The sequence below is a fragment of the Homo sapiens genome, chromosome 10 (assembly GCF_000001405.40).
Source record: "Homo sapiens chromosome 10, GRCh38.p14 Primary Assembly".
NCBI classification, from domain to species: Eukaryota; Metazoa; Chordata; class Mammalia; order Primates; family Hominidae; genus Homo; species Homo sapiens.
Window position 1 is genome coordinate 44281256 of NC_000010.11, and position 18407 is coordinate 44299662.

An 18407-nucleotide genomic window follows, 5' to 3' on the forward strand; every position below is an offset into this window, starting at 1 on the left:
AACATGGCACCTCTTCTCACAGTGTGTGCCAGGGCCACGTCTGCCACGCAAGCTGACGGCAAGGTGACCACGTGGCATCTGTGTGAGACAGGGGAAACTTTGGAGTAGCAGGGCTAAACATCTGGAAAGGAGGGAAAGCCAGGTGGAATGGGGAGGGAGGTGGGAGGAGAACGGGACAGGAAGGAAAGATGGAAGCGGTCAACAGCGCGGCATGCTGCCAACAGGAGACAGGAAGAGAGAAAAGCGCCTCACTGGGCTTAGCAATTAGGAGGTTACTCAGATTTTGCCAGTAGTGGCCTCAGCCTCATGGTCAAAGCAGGAGTCAGAGCTGTCCCTGCTGCAGCTCACTCCTCTATGGTTCTAATGGCCCTTCTTCCTCTCCACCCGGCAGAGACCTCTCAGAAACGACACTTGTCTCCAGAACAGCCTGGTTTGTCAGACACGAGGAGCCCCTGAGGACAAGGGTGCTGGGGACCCAGGCTTGCCTTTCTAGGCGGCTGGGGTGGGTAGAGGGTGGGGAGGTGCTCTGGGTCCTCTGCCCACAGCAGGACTGTGGATGGAATGGTCAGTGAAGAGGTGAGGCTGGAATTTCAGGCAGGGCCCAGCAACGCACAGCCCACGCCATTTGGCAGCCTCCTGCCTTGGGATGTGGGGACCACCTATGCTCTGTTCCCTTCTCTCTCACATCCTTCTTCCACCACCCTCTGGTCTTTCTGCCAGAGAGGAGCCCACCCTCCCCTGTCAATTTTGAAACTCAGTCCAGAAACTCAGGTAGAGAGCAGCACCCAGCCTGCGTGCTGCCCAAACACAGAGCCCTGCCCTGAGGACACATGAGGACACAGCCCAGCCAGAAGGAGGTGGAGCCGAGGCCTGCCAGCACCTGCAGGCCCCAACCATCCTGAGGCTCCAAGGGTCCTGGAAGACAAGCTGGAAGCTGAGGACATTTGAGTTCATCTTCTGAGGGCCTCAGAGAGGAAAATACTAACAATCACTAAATTAATAGTCTGACTACGCACCTGGCCATAAACTCTTGGTATGCATTACAAAGTTACACCTCACAATAGATAACTATCCTATTTTGCCAACTTGACAGATGAGGAAACTGAGAAACAAGAACAAAAGTGAGGTCTTCCAGCCAGTAAGTGGCTGGGTCTGTATTCTTAAGAATTTCACTCTATTGAAAACCATGGAGATAGGGGAGTCTTTGGAGTCAAACAGAAATGAATCTTTGCCTGGATTCCACAATTTACTGTATGTATTGTGACATATAGATATATATACACATACACATGCTATGCATGCTCTATATAACATGAAATGTAAAGATATAGATGTATTCTAAAATGCATATAATTTCCACATGTAAATCACACATCTTAAATCTTTCCCACCTCTTCTTCACCTGTACTTGTAGTGTGAGCCCTTGCAGGTGTAGTATGTGTATGTTGAAAACAGGGGAGAGCTCAAAGCCCTGCCTCCCCATCTATGCCACACTGCAATGTGGGGAATGCATCTGCCACCCAAAGGACAGCTGGCAGGAGAAATGTCTGCAGGCCTCACATGCTGCTCAAATGCAGGTGACACAGACTGGCTTTGCTCCCAGCTTTCCCCCATCTCTCAGACAAAGGAGAAGCAGACAAGAGACATTAGACATGTTGATATAATCAAGTCACTTTTCAAGCAAGCCCAGCTTTCTTTTACTTTGCCAGCACCAGCTTGTGTCTTAGAGGAGCTGACACCCAACAGCAAACTAAAATAAACTCCCTAAGTCAGCCATGTCGCTTCTCAGGACTATAGGCAGGTGGGAAGTCTGCCATGTCATCCCACTGGGCCATATCTGTTATCAGTGCCACACCTCCCGCCGTCCTGTGGGGAGCCCTGGCCTTGTGTGGCCACCTTCAAGCCTTCTTTCTTTACACATGGCCCTCCCCATGCTGCTGGCCCTCCCAGGTTCCTGTGGAGGTCTGTCTTCCTGGCGGCTTTGATGGTAGAGCTCTCTGCAAAGCTGCCTTGACAGTGATAACGCAGTGTCTCTAAAAATGAAGAAAAAAATAAGATCGCTTAGATTAAAGGAGTCCACTGAATGCTCAGCTTTAAAGAAATATTTGATCAGTCTCATGACATCAAAATTGTAAAGTCTTATATGACAAAAGCAATAAAAAAGCAAATAATTGCAAACTGGACAAGAGATAAGAGTAGAGCATTCACAGAAAAGGGAATCCAGATTGACAACAAACATGAAAAGACACAATCTCCCTGCAAACCAAGGAAATGCAAATTATAACAGCAAGGCCAGACTGCTGTTCTGCCCATGAGACTTATAGAAATTAAAAAGAAATTGGCAGTGGCAAGGATACAATTGGTGAGAGTATCAATTGGCAAGACCTTTTGAAGACAAATTTGGCATTATCAGTTAAATTTAGGTGCACATTTCTTAATTCTGACATTTTAAATTCTAGGTGGCCATTTTAGAGAAACACTACATACCTGCTCAAAGAGACATGCATGAAATATCATTTAAGGTAGAATAAAAAGGAAGTGCTCCGAATGTTCACCAACATTTGCAACATTTGGCAGTTCACCAACAGAGATGGCTGCAGATGGAATTGGGGTGTATTTGCACTGCAGTGCAGCCATTTAAGATGATTGGGTACCTCTCTATGTTCTGATCTGGAAATATCTCTATGGCATAGGTGAAAAAAGGAATTTGATGACAATGTGTGATACAATGCTAAATATGTTAAGATGTTTAACATAATATGTTATGTTAATATGTTAAATATGTTAACTACTAATTTTTACGTGTAAAAATGTATATAAAAGGTCAGACATCAAACTGATAACCTTTGAAGATACAGCTACAATTAGAACGGGGGACAGTAGTAGCCAAGGGAACTTTTACTTTATGTGTAATTTAGAATAGTTCAAAATTAATATGTCCCAAAATGGTATATTCATGTATTTATATTCAGTATTGCTTTTTTAAATGATGGAAATCAGGAGAGGAAAAGTCAGAGACAGCAGGACAGGTCTGGGAGAGCTGCTCTGTTTGTTTCCAGGAGCAGGGCTAAGCCCGGCCCTCTGAAGGTGCTCCACGAGGTGGGGCTGCACACTCCAGCTCCCAGTCCATCTCAGGCATGCCGCAGTGTGTCCACGCTGCAGCTCCCCTGCTGCACCAGCAACAGAGGTGCAGGCCACCAGCATCATCTTCTGTGCCCCTTGAAAGAATGTAGCACCCCTGGAGCCAATCCTGGAGGGCATCCAGGGGCCTCCTTCCCTTTTACTGTGTCCCTAAAATGGACATGCTGGTCTGTCTCCAGTGCCCCTCAACCTGCTAAGACCAGATTCCTGAAGGCTTGAAGTTCTTGAGAGGGAAGCACAGCATAGAACAAACAAGCCAAACAACACTGAAGACTGAGTGTCTGCAAGGAATTCCTTTCACCTGAGCCTCAGCTGGGGCACGCCTGTGGACTCCTGGTCACTTTCTGCCCTCCTATCACCCAGGGAGAAGGTGAGTCCTTGGACACCTCCCTCCTGCACTGCATCTCCACCCCCACACAATCATTCCCTAGTCCTGTCCCCTGAGGCCACCCTTTGTGTCTTGCATCTGCCATCTTGGCAACAATTGACAGGAAGAAATTCCACTATCATTAGGAAATAAATGAGTGTATCCTGAACTGACAAGATCTGGTTGTAGGACTGTGACATTGTGAAAAATATACAGCCATGTACTGCCTGGGATGTTTCAGTCAATTATGGACTGCGTATAAAACAGTGGTCCCATAGGATTATTGCCCTATACAGGTATACATTTTCAATCTTTTATACAGTGTTTTTACTGTACCTTTTCTATGTTTAGATACACAAATATCACTGTGTTACAATTGCTGACAGTATTCAGTACAGTAGGATGCTGCACTGGTTTGTAGCCTAGGAGCAATAGGCCGTCACACATAGTGTAGGTGTGTAGTAGTCTATATCATCTAGGTTTGTGTAAGTATACTCTGATATTCAAACAACAATGAAATTACCTGCACCAAAGAACATATTTGTCAGAAAGTAACCAATAGTTCAGCAACCATTTTATTGTTTTCCCCTTTTCCTGGCTTACAACTTCTTAAGTCCTCGGAATCTTCCAAAACGTTGAGTGTCTTTTTATGCTAATGAGTAGGCTGATGTCTGGCAGCCCCCAGGTAGCTTCAGGATGGGATGCTGGTCAGCAGAAATACCCAGGCATGATTTGAGGGTTGGGAATTTCCCCTCCATCCCCCAACCTCCAGGGATGGGAGAAGGGCTGAAGTTAAGTTGATCACCAATGGCCAATGACCTAATCAAGCATGCCTACATAATGAAGATTCCATAAAAACCCAAAGGGCTGGATCTGCAGAGCTTCCAAACATCCAAACCTGCGGAGTTTCCTGAAAGATGGTGTGCTCTAAGAAAAGAAAAGTAGCTCAGGGCAGTCTGAGGTACGTGAGGGATGCAAAATCCATCAGGCCCAGAGAGTCCGAGTGTGGGACTTCAGTCAAGCCCCACTTATGCTGGAGGACAATGGTTTAAAGTCATTTTGTGATACAAATAAACAGTGTATAGCTAATCAAATCTTACATTATTTTAATGTAAATTATTGGTAAAAAAACCTCAGGAACTTCTTTTTTTCCTTTAGAAATTCACTTGCAAGTACTGTTAATCAGAGTGTACATTCAGGGCAACCTGAATTTATGATCCTAATTTCAATTCTGAAGCTTAGCCCCCCCACACCCCCCACCAATCCCCCAAATTCTCTGCTTATATTAATTTGGACTCAGCTTCTTCCTTCTAGGTCGACATATGTGGTGTAGTTGGCAGGATCCAGAGCTACTCCCCCCAGCCCTCCAGGGTTTCTCTCTGAAAGCCCTGCTTGGCACCAGCAGGAACCCATCGCATTCTCTCTGCCTTCAGAAGTTCCAACGGGTATTTCAGGTAAGTTCTATTGAACTTGTGAGTTCTCTTGAATTTGAAGCTTCTACTCTTTTGTTGAAAGTCTAGATGTTATTTGGATCAGTTTTCAAAACCTCTTTTTCCTTTAAGACTGAGGGCTTCAGTCTGTCTTTGGATAGGAGGTTCCAATAAAGAACTCTGCAGAGAACTGGCTTTTTTCCACCTCTACCTTAGGACAGAAGGTTTGGGTTTTTCTACCTTTGTCTCAGGATTGGGAATTCAGGTCATGGGAATGGCAATGTGGACCAGTGATCTCAGTTGACATAGTATGCTTTTTAAGATTGCAGAGGTTTTCTATTGTTTAAGATTTGGGCTTGGTTTTTCATTTGTGATCAAATCCTGTTAAAACACTAGCTGAATTTGTATATAACATTTATGGCACTTCATCTTATAAATACCTAGGAAAGTCGACCCACCCAACCCAGGATGTTTTTAAGCAGCAGTAGCCAATATGGGGATCCTTTGAAATGTTTAAAATAATTCATTTGCATGCACAGTTGGAGAAAAAAGCTGGCTTTCATACCAGACAAACTGAATGAGAGACCTACTTTATGTTCATTGTGGCTGAACTCTAATGATAAGAGATTTGATAACATTTCATGTAGAATTCTACGGTCAGAAGTTGGCTTAAATAAAAGCTGATATTTAAGGTATAATGTTTTTGAGTAAAAATAACAAAAAGGTTTTTTATCTTTTCCTTTTTTGGATCTTGTTTGTGGGAATTTTTTCAGTTAACTAAAACTCCTGTTTAAGAATGTTTGGCCTGTCTGTTTCTATCTTGCTGGCATAATTCTTGCTGAGAAAAATGTAAAAACTTAGTCTTTTAAAAAAAAAGACTCCTCAGTTTGGCTCCTCTAAGACTTATTGTTCTATTTCCTTCCACTTCTGGTTCTCTGTCTTTTTGCCGTTTTTGATACCACATGAAGAAACTAAGGGAGACTTCAAATGACTGTGAGGCCACTTGAAAACTACAGAAAAAGGCAGTCCCCCTTTGGAAAGTTTTCTGTTTTTCTCGTGGAGTACAAAGAATTGTGGGCAGGTTCCTATCAGGTCTAAAACTCTTCTGTCTTTTGCAATAAGTTACCTGATCTCTTTGGCTTTGGGGGGGGTCCCAGGAATTACTTTGTACTGTAAGAGAGAACTTGACTTTTTGTGTGTGCAATGGCTGACAAGTCACTGGACAAAGCTGCAGTTTTGGAAGCAGCTGACAGTGGTTGTAGTGAATATTTGCTGCTCCAGGGGGCAACTTGTTTCTTCGTGTGTTCAGATGAAAAGGCAGATTTGAACACTTGGAGGCTGTGGGAACACTCCCCATCAAACAGTAAGATTCCTGTGGAGAACAGGCTGCTCTAGAGAGGCCTGCTTGGCACTAGGTCACCCACCAGGCTCAGGGGAATGTCTGTACCAAGGAGTACTGCGGAAACATTGCACAGCCTGGTCCTGTGGTGCTTCCCTTTTTTGAGGGTCCTACAGCTCCATATAGAAGTGGGGTCCTTGATTTTTAAAGATCTAGATGCACTGCCTTCCAGTTGTGCTGCTTTTTACATTTCAAATATTAGGCCAGGGAAACTGCAAATACTTTCTTTGCCCTATTCATTAAAGGGATCCACTCTGAGTCAGTAACCTAATCAAGAAATAAACTAAGTTGAAAGACCCCCATCTAACTAGATTGCTGGCATTTAGCTGGCTAGTTTGACACTCTTTATAGAAGAAATGTATATCTTTAAGGAAATCTCCATTTATAAGGGCACCTCCCTGCACAGGAGCCGTTAGAAACTTTTACAATAAGAAAGACATTGGCTTAACGTTTATACACCAAATCGTACCTTTGTTTAGGATACTTTTCCTGACAATCTTGTTTTGAGTGGGCCTTTATCCATGTCCTTTTTGTTTCAGCAAATAATGGTGTTTAGATCTAAGTTCTGTGCCTTGGAGATGTAAACTTTCACCTGAGTCATCCCTTTGAAGGTGTAAATTTAGGGTTGCTTAAGTAACAACTGTCTAGAGCAATGGAACAGGTAATCAAGAGATTAATAGTTTAAAGAGGGAAGAAAATTATTTAAAAACTGGCAAATAAAAAACTGTATAAAGCTATACAGCCTGTTTTTATCCATGTGTCTGAATGTCTGTATGTTTATATGTGTCATGTTTATGTGATATTTCACTATCAAAATATATAAAATATCTATTTCATTGGCTTAAGGAAAAAGGAACTGCTTAAATAAAATATTTTAGCAGAAAAATAGAAATTAACTCAAATGCCTTTAGTTCACATGACTTGGAAAACATTAGTAAATAACTCGTTTAACATTATTGGTTTAATGAAAACAGCTGTGTCTTCTGATCAGCAAAATAAACATGTGTTTAACTTTAGAGCTCTTTTTCACATGATAACTGCCTAACATTATGAGTTACAGAAGTGATTAACAAAGAAATAACTCGAGATGATGCCTGACTTTGTTTAACGAACTAGTCAAGCATAATTGTTAAGAATGAATACATTAAATAAATATAAACGGAATAAAAGTTTATAAACAAAATTTTCATAATTTCAAAAATCTTTTTCAGAAACTTAATCTTAAAGTCATATTATGTTAAATTAATAGGTAATTATAAAATACTTGAGTCATTTATATGATATAGAAAAACTAAATATATTTAGATCTGTTAATAAGGAAAAGTTATGAAATAGTTTTCATCTACAAGTACTGGTATAAGAGTTCAAAATTTACTTTTTAGGTTTTTCACTGGAAATTAGGGTTACTAATGTTACCGGTGGAAGGTATCCAAGTTACCAGTGGTGAATCCATACAGATCTGCAGCAATCTCAGTTTTTGCCTCCTCAGAAGAAATAATTCAACTAAGGGGCATATAGCAGAAAGAGACTGAGGCAAGTTTCAGAGCAGGAGTGGAAGATTATTTAGACAGGCGTTAGAACAGGAGAGAAAAGAAGGTTCACTTGGAAGAGACCCAAGTGGGCACCAAAGGTCAAGAGTGGTGTTTAACCTTGACTCTAAGACTTTATAGGCTGGCCTCTTTGCCATGATCCTTCCCTTAGGGGGAGCTGCCCACATACGCAGTGCCCTCCTTACCCTTGGGAAGTGAGCATGCGCAGTGTGTTCAGGAAGTTGTATGCATTCCCATCTGAGACTTTCCTCCCTTTTCCAGTGGTGTGGCCCCAGAAGGTCATACTTCACCATTTTGTCTCTTAACGTAGATGTCCAGGAATTTGCTTCTCCCTGGCGCCTGCATTCAGTTAAATAACATTTTAGTGAAACAGACTTGACCATCAGGAAATGGCCTCTCTCTGGTGCTTTTTTATCACTTTTGTTTTATTTATTTTATTTATCACTTTTAGAGAGACAATGTGATAATTGCCAAACCAGCACCTAATGTTCCTAGTGGGTGGGGAGCCCTTTCCTGCCCCACTCATGCCTGTCTAACTACCTGCAGCACTAAGAGTCAATGTTATAGCTAATATGTATAATTAAAACTACTTGCTATAGGAAAAACCTCTATTATAGAGCATATAAAGGAAGTAAGATGCAAAGAAAGTTGAAAAGAGAAAGTGATTTTTTTCTTTTACATGACTGAGGACTTTGTGGTCAAAACAATAAAGAAGAGAGAAAATCACATTTTTATAGAATCCCAATGCAAAAAGAGAAAGTATAAGACAAAACTGGAGGTTTAAGTAAGTTGTAGGTTTGTGAAAGATGAATCTTGCGAAAAGAATTTTGTGTGTGAGCAAGTTGGCTAAAATTATACGAGAATTATTTCAAGTTTTTCTAAAGATTGAGCATTAATATGAAAAGCACACTAATGCAAGGCCAGAGTCCTGGCTCCTATGTTTGAACAATAGGGTTTTCCCTATAATTTTAACAGAAAATTATAAAAGATTATAAGAGGTTTATGGAAAGCTTATCTTGCATGGTCAAAACTGATTCAGACTGGATGGATTTATTTATAAGTCTTTATTAAACTTAGCTTTAGCATTAATAATATACTGACACAAATGTAGAATATGCTTTCCTCTTTTGAACAAGATTTTAATGTAGTATTAATAAGGATAGTAAAAGGCTTTTGTTCAACTTTTGAGTAAACTGCAAAAAAAGATCTTTATTAGGTCTTTTGATTATTTAGATAACTGAGTCTTCTCTCTCAAAGAGTAAAGGTTGTTTGAAATTTTTGAATTATTGCTTTGGTTAAATGAATGACTATTATTTACAGTGAACTGTGATCCTAATTTGATCAAGTGTTTTAAACCTTTAATATTTGATATACTACCCAAAGTCAAATTTCAGTTTCTAAAATTAAATCTTTTCCAAAAGTAACCTCTAGAAATCTAAGAAAGATATATTTAGCTTATTTGGTATGTTAAAATCATATGGGAAGCATTGTCAAATCTCAAATAAATAATGGAGTTTAATTTTTTAGTCATATTTTTCTGAATATGTTATTATTTTGATATATCATGATATATGTTGTCAAGCATAATTATGATTTATCCTTGGTAAAAACGGGGAAACGGGAGAGAAAAATTGCATTTCAGAAGACAAGTACAGTATGCCTGTTATCAGATTCTAGTCTTGCCCATTGTTTTTGAGTTTTTATTATTTTCCTACAATTTGGACTAAATCCTGAATTCTTTCTTGGCTGCAAGTCTTCAAACTAATGCTTTTGAACTTTTCTCTCATTTTTCTCACTTGGAATCACTAGAATTTAAAACTGCTTTTCTTGAAGCCCTGCAAACTAAAGTTAGACAACTTGATATAAACTTCAGGAGGAGTCAGCACAGCAACTCACATGTACACAGCCTTTGTGCCTGCTGATGTATGGGCTACTCAGGAAGTTCACATGAACACGTAATTCAAACTATAATCCAGGAAAATCTGTAAGATTACCACTACAATCTGAAGATACTTCTGAGACTCTAGAAAAACTAGTTTATTATGGACTATTCCAGACATTAAGAAAAACCTTTGTTTTTCTTTGTTTCCATAGAAATGCCTCTTATTAAAGACCAGCTTGCCTGCATCAGCTGTAGAAGCCCAGCCCCTCTGTAGTGCCACCTCCTAGAATGGACACAGCTGTTTGACCAAATGCTTCTACTCTTAGGACTAAGAGACTGATTCAAGAAGATATGGGACAACATATTTATTTATTTTTCTTTTCTGCTTATCCCAATTTGTTTTTTCCCCTTCTTTGCCTTCTTTTCCTCTAACCCAAATCTCTCCATAATCACTGATTCAGCTGTTGATAATGTGAAATTCTAGGGAAGTTCCAAACAGGAGGATTGAAGGAGCGCAGGGAACTTGGCCCCAAAATATGGCTCCCTGGTATGAGTATTTTCAATTAAAGTCCCTCAAGATCAACAGAAGCTGGAAGAGTCCTCTCCCTTATCTACATGAAGACCCTGCAGACCCACCAAAGAGAACAATTACTTTTCCTTCTCCTCCCTCTTATCTCATTATCTATTGCAGAAAAGAAAACCAACACGTGACCACACCTGAACAGACGCTTTCAAAAAAATAATCCATTTCTCCAGCTTATTAAATTTTCAAAGAGAACCATTTACGAATAACTCTCTGTTTCTTGACCCATTCATTCTCCTTAATAATAATTTATTGCCCCTCAACAGAATCACCTACATTCCGCCTTCCACCCTCCTCTCTGAAAAAACGCTGTATAAGTATCTGGACCTCATGGGATATTGGGTAATCACCTTATTTTTCCCGTGTACACGTTAATAAATTTGTATGCATTTCTCTTATTAATCTGCATTGTACACTTAAAAAGTATTAAAAGAGTGAAATTTATGTTATGAATATTTTATCACAATAAAACAATATTTTAAAAAACTGACAAAAATTCTTTTTAATTTCTTTCAAGTGAGGAATTACCAACTACTTAACAGGGTGCTTAGAATGGGGGATTTTACCAGATAAGTGGCATGCTTTTTACAATTAACAATTGCTGTTATTTACTGAGTATCCACTTTCTCTGCCAGCTCCTGCGTTAAGCACTTTACATATACTAATTCAAATCCTTAAAAAAGAAAATAAAGAAGAGAAAAGGAAAGAAAAATAAGAACATGTAAGGCTATAAGGTGCCTCATCTTTGCCAAATTCTACAGACTGGCCAGGAGACTGCAGGCCACTGCAGCTTCCTAAGGCCACTCAGGACAAGGCCAGTCCGCAATTTGTTTCACTGTGAGACGGCTGCGCGGTCAGAGCCCAGACACGGTCATCAGACTCCCGGACTTGGATTCAGCTCCACATGGTGTCACCCTGGGTAAAGGATGTACATCTCTGCGTGCCTGGGTTTGTATGGATGGCAGCATGGATGCTCAGGCAACTGACCCGTCAGGACTGCAGCAAATGAACAGAAGCTGGGGGAGAGCGCGGGCTGGTGCTGTACGGAGCTCTGGCGCAGAAGGCGCTCACCAGGGGTGCCCAGAGCCGGGGTCTGTGCGCCGCGGGTTGGATCCGGGTCACAGGCTCTGGGTGGACAGAGTGAGAAGACAAAATGAGGATGTACTCCTCAGATGCTCACGAAAGGCCTCCTTCCCCTTCTTTGGGAACGACCCCCCCCCACCCCCTCCCCCCAACAGGCAGTCCCAGGCCGCGCCAGGACTCGGCCGCAGGCAACTCGGAGGAGCGGGAGCCCAGGGGCCTCAGGAGGGCCTCGGGAGTGGGGAGGTGAAGGGGGCGTCGGGAGGGCCGCGGGTGGGAGGCGGGATAGGGAGGCGGGGAGACTCGGAGCGGGGTTGGGGAGGCGAAGAATGGAGGTGGGGAGGTGGGGAGGGGGGCTTCGGGAGGGCCGCGGGTGGGAGGGGGATGGGGAAGCGAGAAGGGGGGGCGGGGAGGGGGGCCTCGGGAGGACCGCGGGTGGGAGGTGGGTGGGGAGGGGGGCCTGGGGAAGGATGGAGCCCGCTGAAGGCAGGCGATGACGCAGGCCCAGTGTACTTCTCCTGGGGGCTCCTTTCTAGGCCCACGGAAGCTCCGTGTTGGTTTCTTTGTACCCATATCACACTCACTGTATTTCTTCTTTCCTTTCCTCTCCCAGCAGCTGTAAGCGCCCTACAGTTTGCATGGGAAGGCAACAGGGACTTCCCTTTTGCACTGTCTGCGGGTACCGCTGTTCCAGCCCTGAGAGGACGAGGGGACGCTGCGCTGTGGGGAAAGTCCGGGTGGCAGGAGGTGGCGGGGCTCCTGGAGGAGGTGCTGGGATGCGCTGCTGTGGCTGCAGAGAAAGGTCCCGAGGACGCAACCCGTCCCTTCCCCCGAACTGCGAAGGAGCCCCGCGGGGAGGACGGGCAGGGTCTCCCGGAGGGAGGAACAGGGGAGCCTGGAGTCTCAGGGTTGCGGGGAGCAGAGGCGTTCTGGGTGGTGAACGTCCCCAGCCTGCCCTCCCTGCTCACTGCGAGGTCGCGCACCGGCTCTGCTCCAGGCCTTCCCTCAGCCCTGGCCTCCAGGCAGTTTCCATTTTTGCCAGGTGGATTCTGTACGGCTTCATTTATTCAGAATCTGGATCAACAAATGAACACTCAGAGAGGAAAAGGGTGTTTGGAGGGGTGGAGAGGTTTCCAAGCAGGTGCCCACCTGAGGGCCCCCTGAAAGGGGACTTAAAGCCGAGTTTCCAGCTGGGCCACCCTTTTTTTTTCTTTCTTTCTTTCAGAAATATAAACAAAGAGCTTGAATTATTTTGAAATAACTGTTGGTAGCTGGACTGTGTTCTCTTGACCGCAACATTGCTCTGGGACTGAATCGCGTGGGTCTCTGCTCTTCCTAAGTGTTACATAAGAATAGCGAACCCATGAGGTCAGCTTCTAAACCAGTTTCTTCCCATAACCTCCTGGACCAAGTCCCAAGCAAGGCCCAGAGGAGCTCAAGGACCCACTCTCCCCGGGACACTCCTCGCTCTCTAGTTGGAAGGAGGAAATGAATGTCCCCCAGTAATTGAAGGCTGCTCATGTTTGTGTAGAAAAGCCAAGCACAGGCCCATATTCTAGAGGGTTGCTTGCGGCAGGCGGAAGGCCATCGAAGGCAAAACGAAACAAATGAAAAGGCATCTTTTGAAGCTAATGGAACAGATCAGGTGGTCAAAAATGGATAAACAATGGCATTTGGAGCAAAACTTTCAGCTTCTTCGTTTTAGTTCGACAGCCCCAGGAGGGCATGGAAGCTTCTCGCCCTCCTCATATGTCTTGCCCCAGGCATCTCTGTGTCTCTCTCCTCTGTAACATCCTTTATAGTAAATGTAAGTAGGCCTTTCCCTGAGCTCTGTGAGCTGCTCTAGCGAATTATTCAAGTGTTAGGAGGCGTCCTGGGAACATTGATTCGTGGGAACGCCAGTGGGTCAGAAGCACAGGTAAGACCACCTTGCCATTGGCATTGGAAGTGGAGGGCAGGCTTGGGACATGAGGCTTGGGCTTGTGGGGTGTGAGGCCACCTCCAGGTAGAAGGTGTCGATGTTGGAATTGTCCGATGTAGAACTGCCTTCTTGCTTGTGGTGGGGAGAAAACCCACACATTTGGTCACAGAAGTCTTCTGTGTTGATTGTTGTTGAGTGAGAGAAAAAAAGTACTTTGGTTTGTTCTGATATTTTCAGAAAGGCTGTAATCAGTTCCTGGGCAATGCGTCATAATACCTCCGCCTCAGTACACTCCCCATCCTGAGGGGCGGCGCTTGCCATTTCTGAAAGGATGCCTCTGTGGGGCCTGGGAGCAAGGCAAGGCTGTGTCATTTCAGTCCTCTCAGCCCAGTCCCCACCAGGACCTGCCAGCCTGGAGTGAAAATGCATCTTATTGTCCTTCTGTCGCCTTCCAGAGACAGACTCCTAACCAGAACGCACATGGCACACATGCATACACACACATTACACACACATGCCCCACATACATACACACAGGCCCCACATGCATACACACGCACCACACATTCATATGCACACAGCACACATGTAGTCACACATGCCACACATGCATACACACACACCACCCATCCCACCCACATCACATATGATATACACAAGACACACCACACCGCACCGCACCATAGTCACACATGCTAAACATACCACATCATCCACAAATGCACCTACACATGCCACACATCATGCCACACCATGTATGCTACTGCATGTTACACCACCCACACACACCAGACACACTACACACATCACACACACACACCAGACATATTACAACATCCACACAAATATCCCACACATACGACACAATACACACACGCTTGCCACACACACCACAACACACATGCACACGATACCATGTATGCTATACACAAGTGCATGATATACCACCTAGACACACACTTGCCACTCATACCACACTGGGCACACCATGCACACATCACAGGCACACACACTGCCTACACGAATTCCACATTATACTTCCAGATACCACAGAAAACAGCATCCAAATCACACAAACACACAAACTGTGCACATAGACACATATACCACAAACATACCACACATCCACACACACTGCATACACACACCACATACAGAGACACAAGCCACAGGCACACCACAAAGTACACATTCCTACACCCAGCTCCTACCATCAACACCACAAACACGTTTTCAAATGCTCATTCCACATACTTATGAAAACAAAAGCTGTCATAAACAGCACAGTTCAAACCTGGGTCAATTAAAAGAAGAACAAAACAGTTGTAAAAGAAACACAGTATTCCAACGTGTTCACCTCCTCTCCTCCCACATAATAGTCGTTTCTATTGTCATGTGCTTCACTCATCATTTTCTGTCCCTGAATAGGATCTCTGTGACATAGACAAAGCCACACTGAACTCATTTCCTCCAGAAAAGGCTGAATCCAAACTTCTCCCTGGCCACCTCTCCAGCTCTGGGGTATCCCCATCTGATATGAGAAGATAGGAGGAGGGAGGGAAGTAAAGATCTTTCTCTTCCAAAACTGTTTCATGGGAACCATTTTATTTTTTATAATTATAGCAAAATGTAAGTTTAAGATTTTTTGTGTGTTGTATTTGGGTTTGTAAAACTGAAAAGTAATCACTGGAAAATATATCCTTTATCCAATATCCAAATATTTCCAAATATATCCAACATCCAATATCCAGTATATTTGGAAATATACCCAAATATATTCAATAGAAATTGGATAAATAACTTGCCAAATGCTGAACAAACGAAAGAGGAAAATATTACTGATCAACCCACTGAAAGAAAGGAAGATAAAATCAGAAATACTGGAAATGTGATAAATGTAAAAGATAAAATAAGACTATTACTGAATGTATTGGTTATCAGAATACATCCAAAAATAAGTGGACTAAACTTCCCTATCCAAAGGCTAAGTACCTAGAGTGCTTCAAACAGCAAAACCTGATCCATCTAAAGTAAAATGAAGCATAGAGGTTGATACTTTGACACTTAGGAGTTAGGCGAGGATCTAGCAGATAAATTCAGATATAGACAAAGCAAGGGAGGGAATATTTATGTCAAATAGAGAAAGAAAGCCTAAAAATAGTCAATGAGGCAAAAATGATCATATTATTAATAAAATATACAATCCACAATGAAGACATTGAAGTCATGAACATTTGCATTTCAAATACTAGTAGAGGAAATAATGTGAAAATATAAAACATAAAAATTTGATAAAATTGTTTGGTACTGAGAAGCTCTAACACATTGTACAGAATTTTGTGGATTAACAAGATAAAAAAGGACATACAAAGCGTGAATAATGTAATTAACAAACTTGGCATAGTACCTACATAGAAAACATTGTAAGCCACAAAGAGACAAAGTAATGTATTAACTCAGTATTTATAAATATTGATAATGAATTAGGCCTAACAAAGTCTATTCTAAATAAGGTAGAAATTCTACAAGCCTTTTTCTCTTAGTACAAGTAGTAAATAATGACAAAATGATTATGAATTTTAACCACACAGAACTGTAAAACTACTTTTTTTGATCAAAGGACTCCAATCCCAAGGAGGGAAAGCTTTTTTCAAATGCAAATTACTTCCTTCCCACCTTCCTTTGGATCCCTTATAAGTAATCCAGGTCATAGATGATTTTTATCAGACTTTGAGGGAAATAATTCAGTATGATGCTATTTTAAAGTTCCCAAAGCATAGAAAGTTTAGAAATTGTTTGAAACTGATTATATAAGACTAGCATCACATTTAAGCCCAAACTCAACAAAGATAACAATGAAAAGCATCTATAGAACAATTGCACTTAAGAGTATAGATATAACACTTCCCTATAAAATATTTTTACGTTAAATCCAGGAATAAATTCAAAGAATAATATACCACAAACTACCCAGCTTTATTCCTAGGAATATGGAAATAATTTATTAGCATGACATATATTAATATAATTTATAACAATAATTTGTTAAAGGAGAAAATCCAAGTAATTATCACACTAATTACTTCAGTGGCAGATCATACAATTCAACAACTGCACCTACGTGTGTTTTCCTCACATCTTGGAAGGTATTTGTCAGAAGAGCTCAGCCAGCATTATACTGAGTGGTGAAGCACAGGAGAGATCCACGGTAAGGGTAGGAATAAAATGAGGATGTCCACTCTCGCTCAGCGTGATGTCTCAGCATTGCCGTACAGCCATATTCTAGCAACTCCAAGGAGGAAAGAGAGATATGTTAATTATGCAAATACTGGAAAGGAAGAAATAAAATGTTTGCTGTATTTAGATAACAAGACTATTCTAATTCTCTGCAAAGTAATCCATAAATATAGCAAAGTGTCAATTAACATCGCAACAGCATGCATTCTAAAAGTCATCTGGAAAAATGACTGAACTAGCAATACAAATGCTGATAACAGAAGAGAGACACCGAGGGGCTTCCCCGGCAGGTTTTGCACTCTCACAATGCCAGGATGCCTTCCGCTGTGCGGGGCCCACAAGAGCACATACACATGTAAAGGTGTCTCTTTAAATCTCCAGGAAAAGGACAGATTAGTGGGGAATGCGTTGTGACAACCTACTAACCATCTTAGGGGAAAATAGTGTTACAGTCCTACCTCATACCTCACACCAAAATGAATTCCAGATGGGCTAAATATTTTTAATATTTAAAAAAAATCATAAGGGCAGTAAAAGAAAACATTTAGTGAAAATTGTATGAATATCTGGGTGTGAAAGTGCTTTCTAAGCAGGCAACCAAAATCTGAAGTAATATAAGGAAAAGACTAATAGATGTTAATACATAAAAACTTAAAATGTGCTCTGAAATAAAATAAAAACCTGCCATGTACAAAATTAAGAGATAAGGAAAACTGGGGGGAATAGCGAGCAGGAAGGGAATTGCCAAATACATATAAAAGAATTAAAATTGCTATTACCTAAAAAGATCTTATAAAACTGTTAGGAAAAGGCAAACACACCAACTTTTAGAAGCAGAAAGAGAATACAAACAGGCAATTCAAATAAAACGAAATGCAAATGACCAATAAATTTGTAAAAGCCCCAGTGAGGTATAATTTATAGCCCCAAACCAGCCTAGATTGAGAATGTTAAATGTGCAAAAAGATTATGGACACCCTTGCCCATAAACTGCTGTTGGGGATAGAGTCGCAGCCAACCTCCAGGACAACAGGCAGGAATTGGAAGCAAACACTCCCTCAACTCCACCGTAGGCACTGCAGCCTCAGAACTGGTTCTAAAGAAAGAGTTCCAGGGTGCATAGCTATGCGATCAGGCAGTCCTCACAGTGCTTTCATTTTTAACAAAAAAAAAAAAAGAAATGAAAAATTTTAAATGACCATCAATATAGGTTTAAAGAAAACTCATAACCCTGTTCTATAAAATATTATCCAAAAATTTACATATGACACAAATCCATGTTTATGAACATAGAAATCTATCCATATTGACTACTAAATAAGGAAATCTGGAAAAAGAACAGTATGGATAATATAATTAAAAAGTAGGGTGTGTGGGTCTGTCTGTCTAGAATAAAGCATGACCCCCAATATTACCAATGATTAAATTATGGCCCGAACCTATTGACATAAGGCGGTACTCATTCATGCAATGTCAATTCAGAAGGCAAGTTGGATACAGAATGTAATCTCTAACTACCACCACTGTCAATTTGTCTCTCTATATAATATGGATTTTTAAACTGTAAGAAAAATGACTGAAATAGTAACTGAAATTTTCTCTGGGTAGAGAGATTTAGAAAAATAGTCATTATTTTCACAATCTAAATTTGTGTATATCTCCTCAATTTTCTGTGGAAGGTGTATTAGTTTGCTAGGGCTACCATAACAAAATACCACAGACTGGGGGCTGAAACAATGAAAATTTATTCTCTCACAGTTGTGGAGGCTGGAAGACTGAGCTCAAGGTGCTGGCAGAGTCCTGAGGCCTCTCTCTCT

At 41.8% G+C, this 18407-nt stretch overlaps 2 long non-coding RNA genes across 2 annotated transcripts in view, besides 1 other annotated feature; one reads left to right on the forward strand and one right to left on the reverse strand.

Moving 5' to 3' along the window:
• Positions 1-11494: 11494 nt before the first annotated feature.
• On the forward strand, positions 11495-13394 carry LINC02881 (long intergenic non-protein coding RNA 2881). The gene is made up of 3 exons (NR_164139.1): positions 11495-11678; positions 12046-12234; positions 12658-13394. It is a non-coding gene; the product is annotated as a long intergenic non-protein coding RNA 2881 (long non-coding RNA).
• The window catches only part of LOC124902544 (uncharacterized), a 57376-nt gene continuing 51627 nt past the window's right edge, over positions 12659-18407 (reverse strand). Inside the window, exons 2-3 of the long non-coding RNA XR_007062369.1 lie at positions 16475-16642; positions 12659-13699 (exon numbers count right to left, since the gene is read on the reverse strand). This is a non-coding gene — a long non-coding RNA (uncharacterized LOC124902544). The remainder of the gene's footprint in view (positions 13700-16474; positions 16643-18407) is intronic.
• Positions 16665-17166: an enhancer, noted in NCBI's record as "NANOG hESC enhancer chr10:44793368-44793869 (GRCh37/hg19 assembly coordinates)". NCBI's record gives its function as "activates a minimal SCP1, AML or CMV promoter by ChIP-STARR-seq in naive and primed H9 embryonic stem cells {active_cell/tissue: H9 hESC(naive and primed)}" and the evidence as "EXISTENCE:reporter gene assay evidence [ECO:0000049][PMID:30033119]".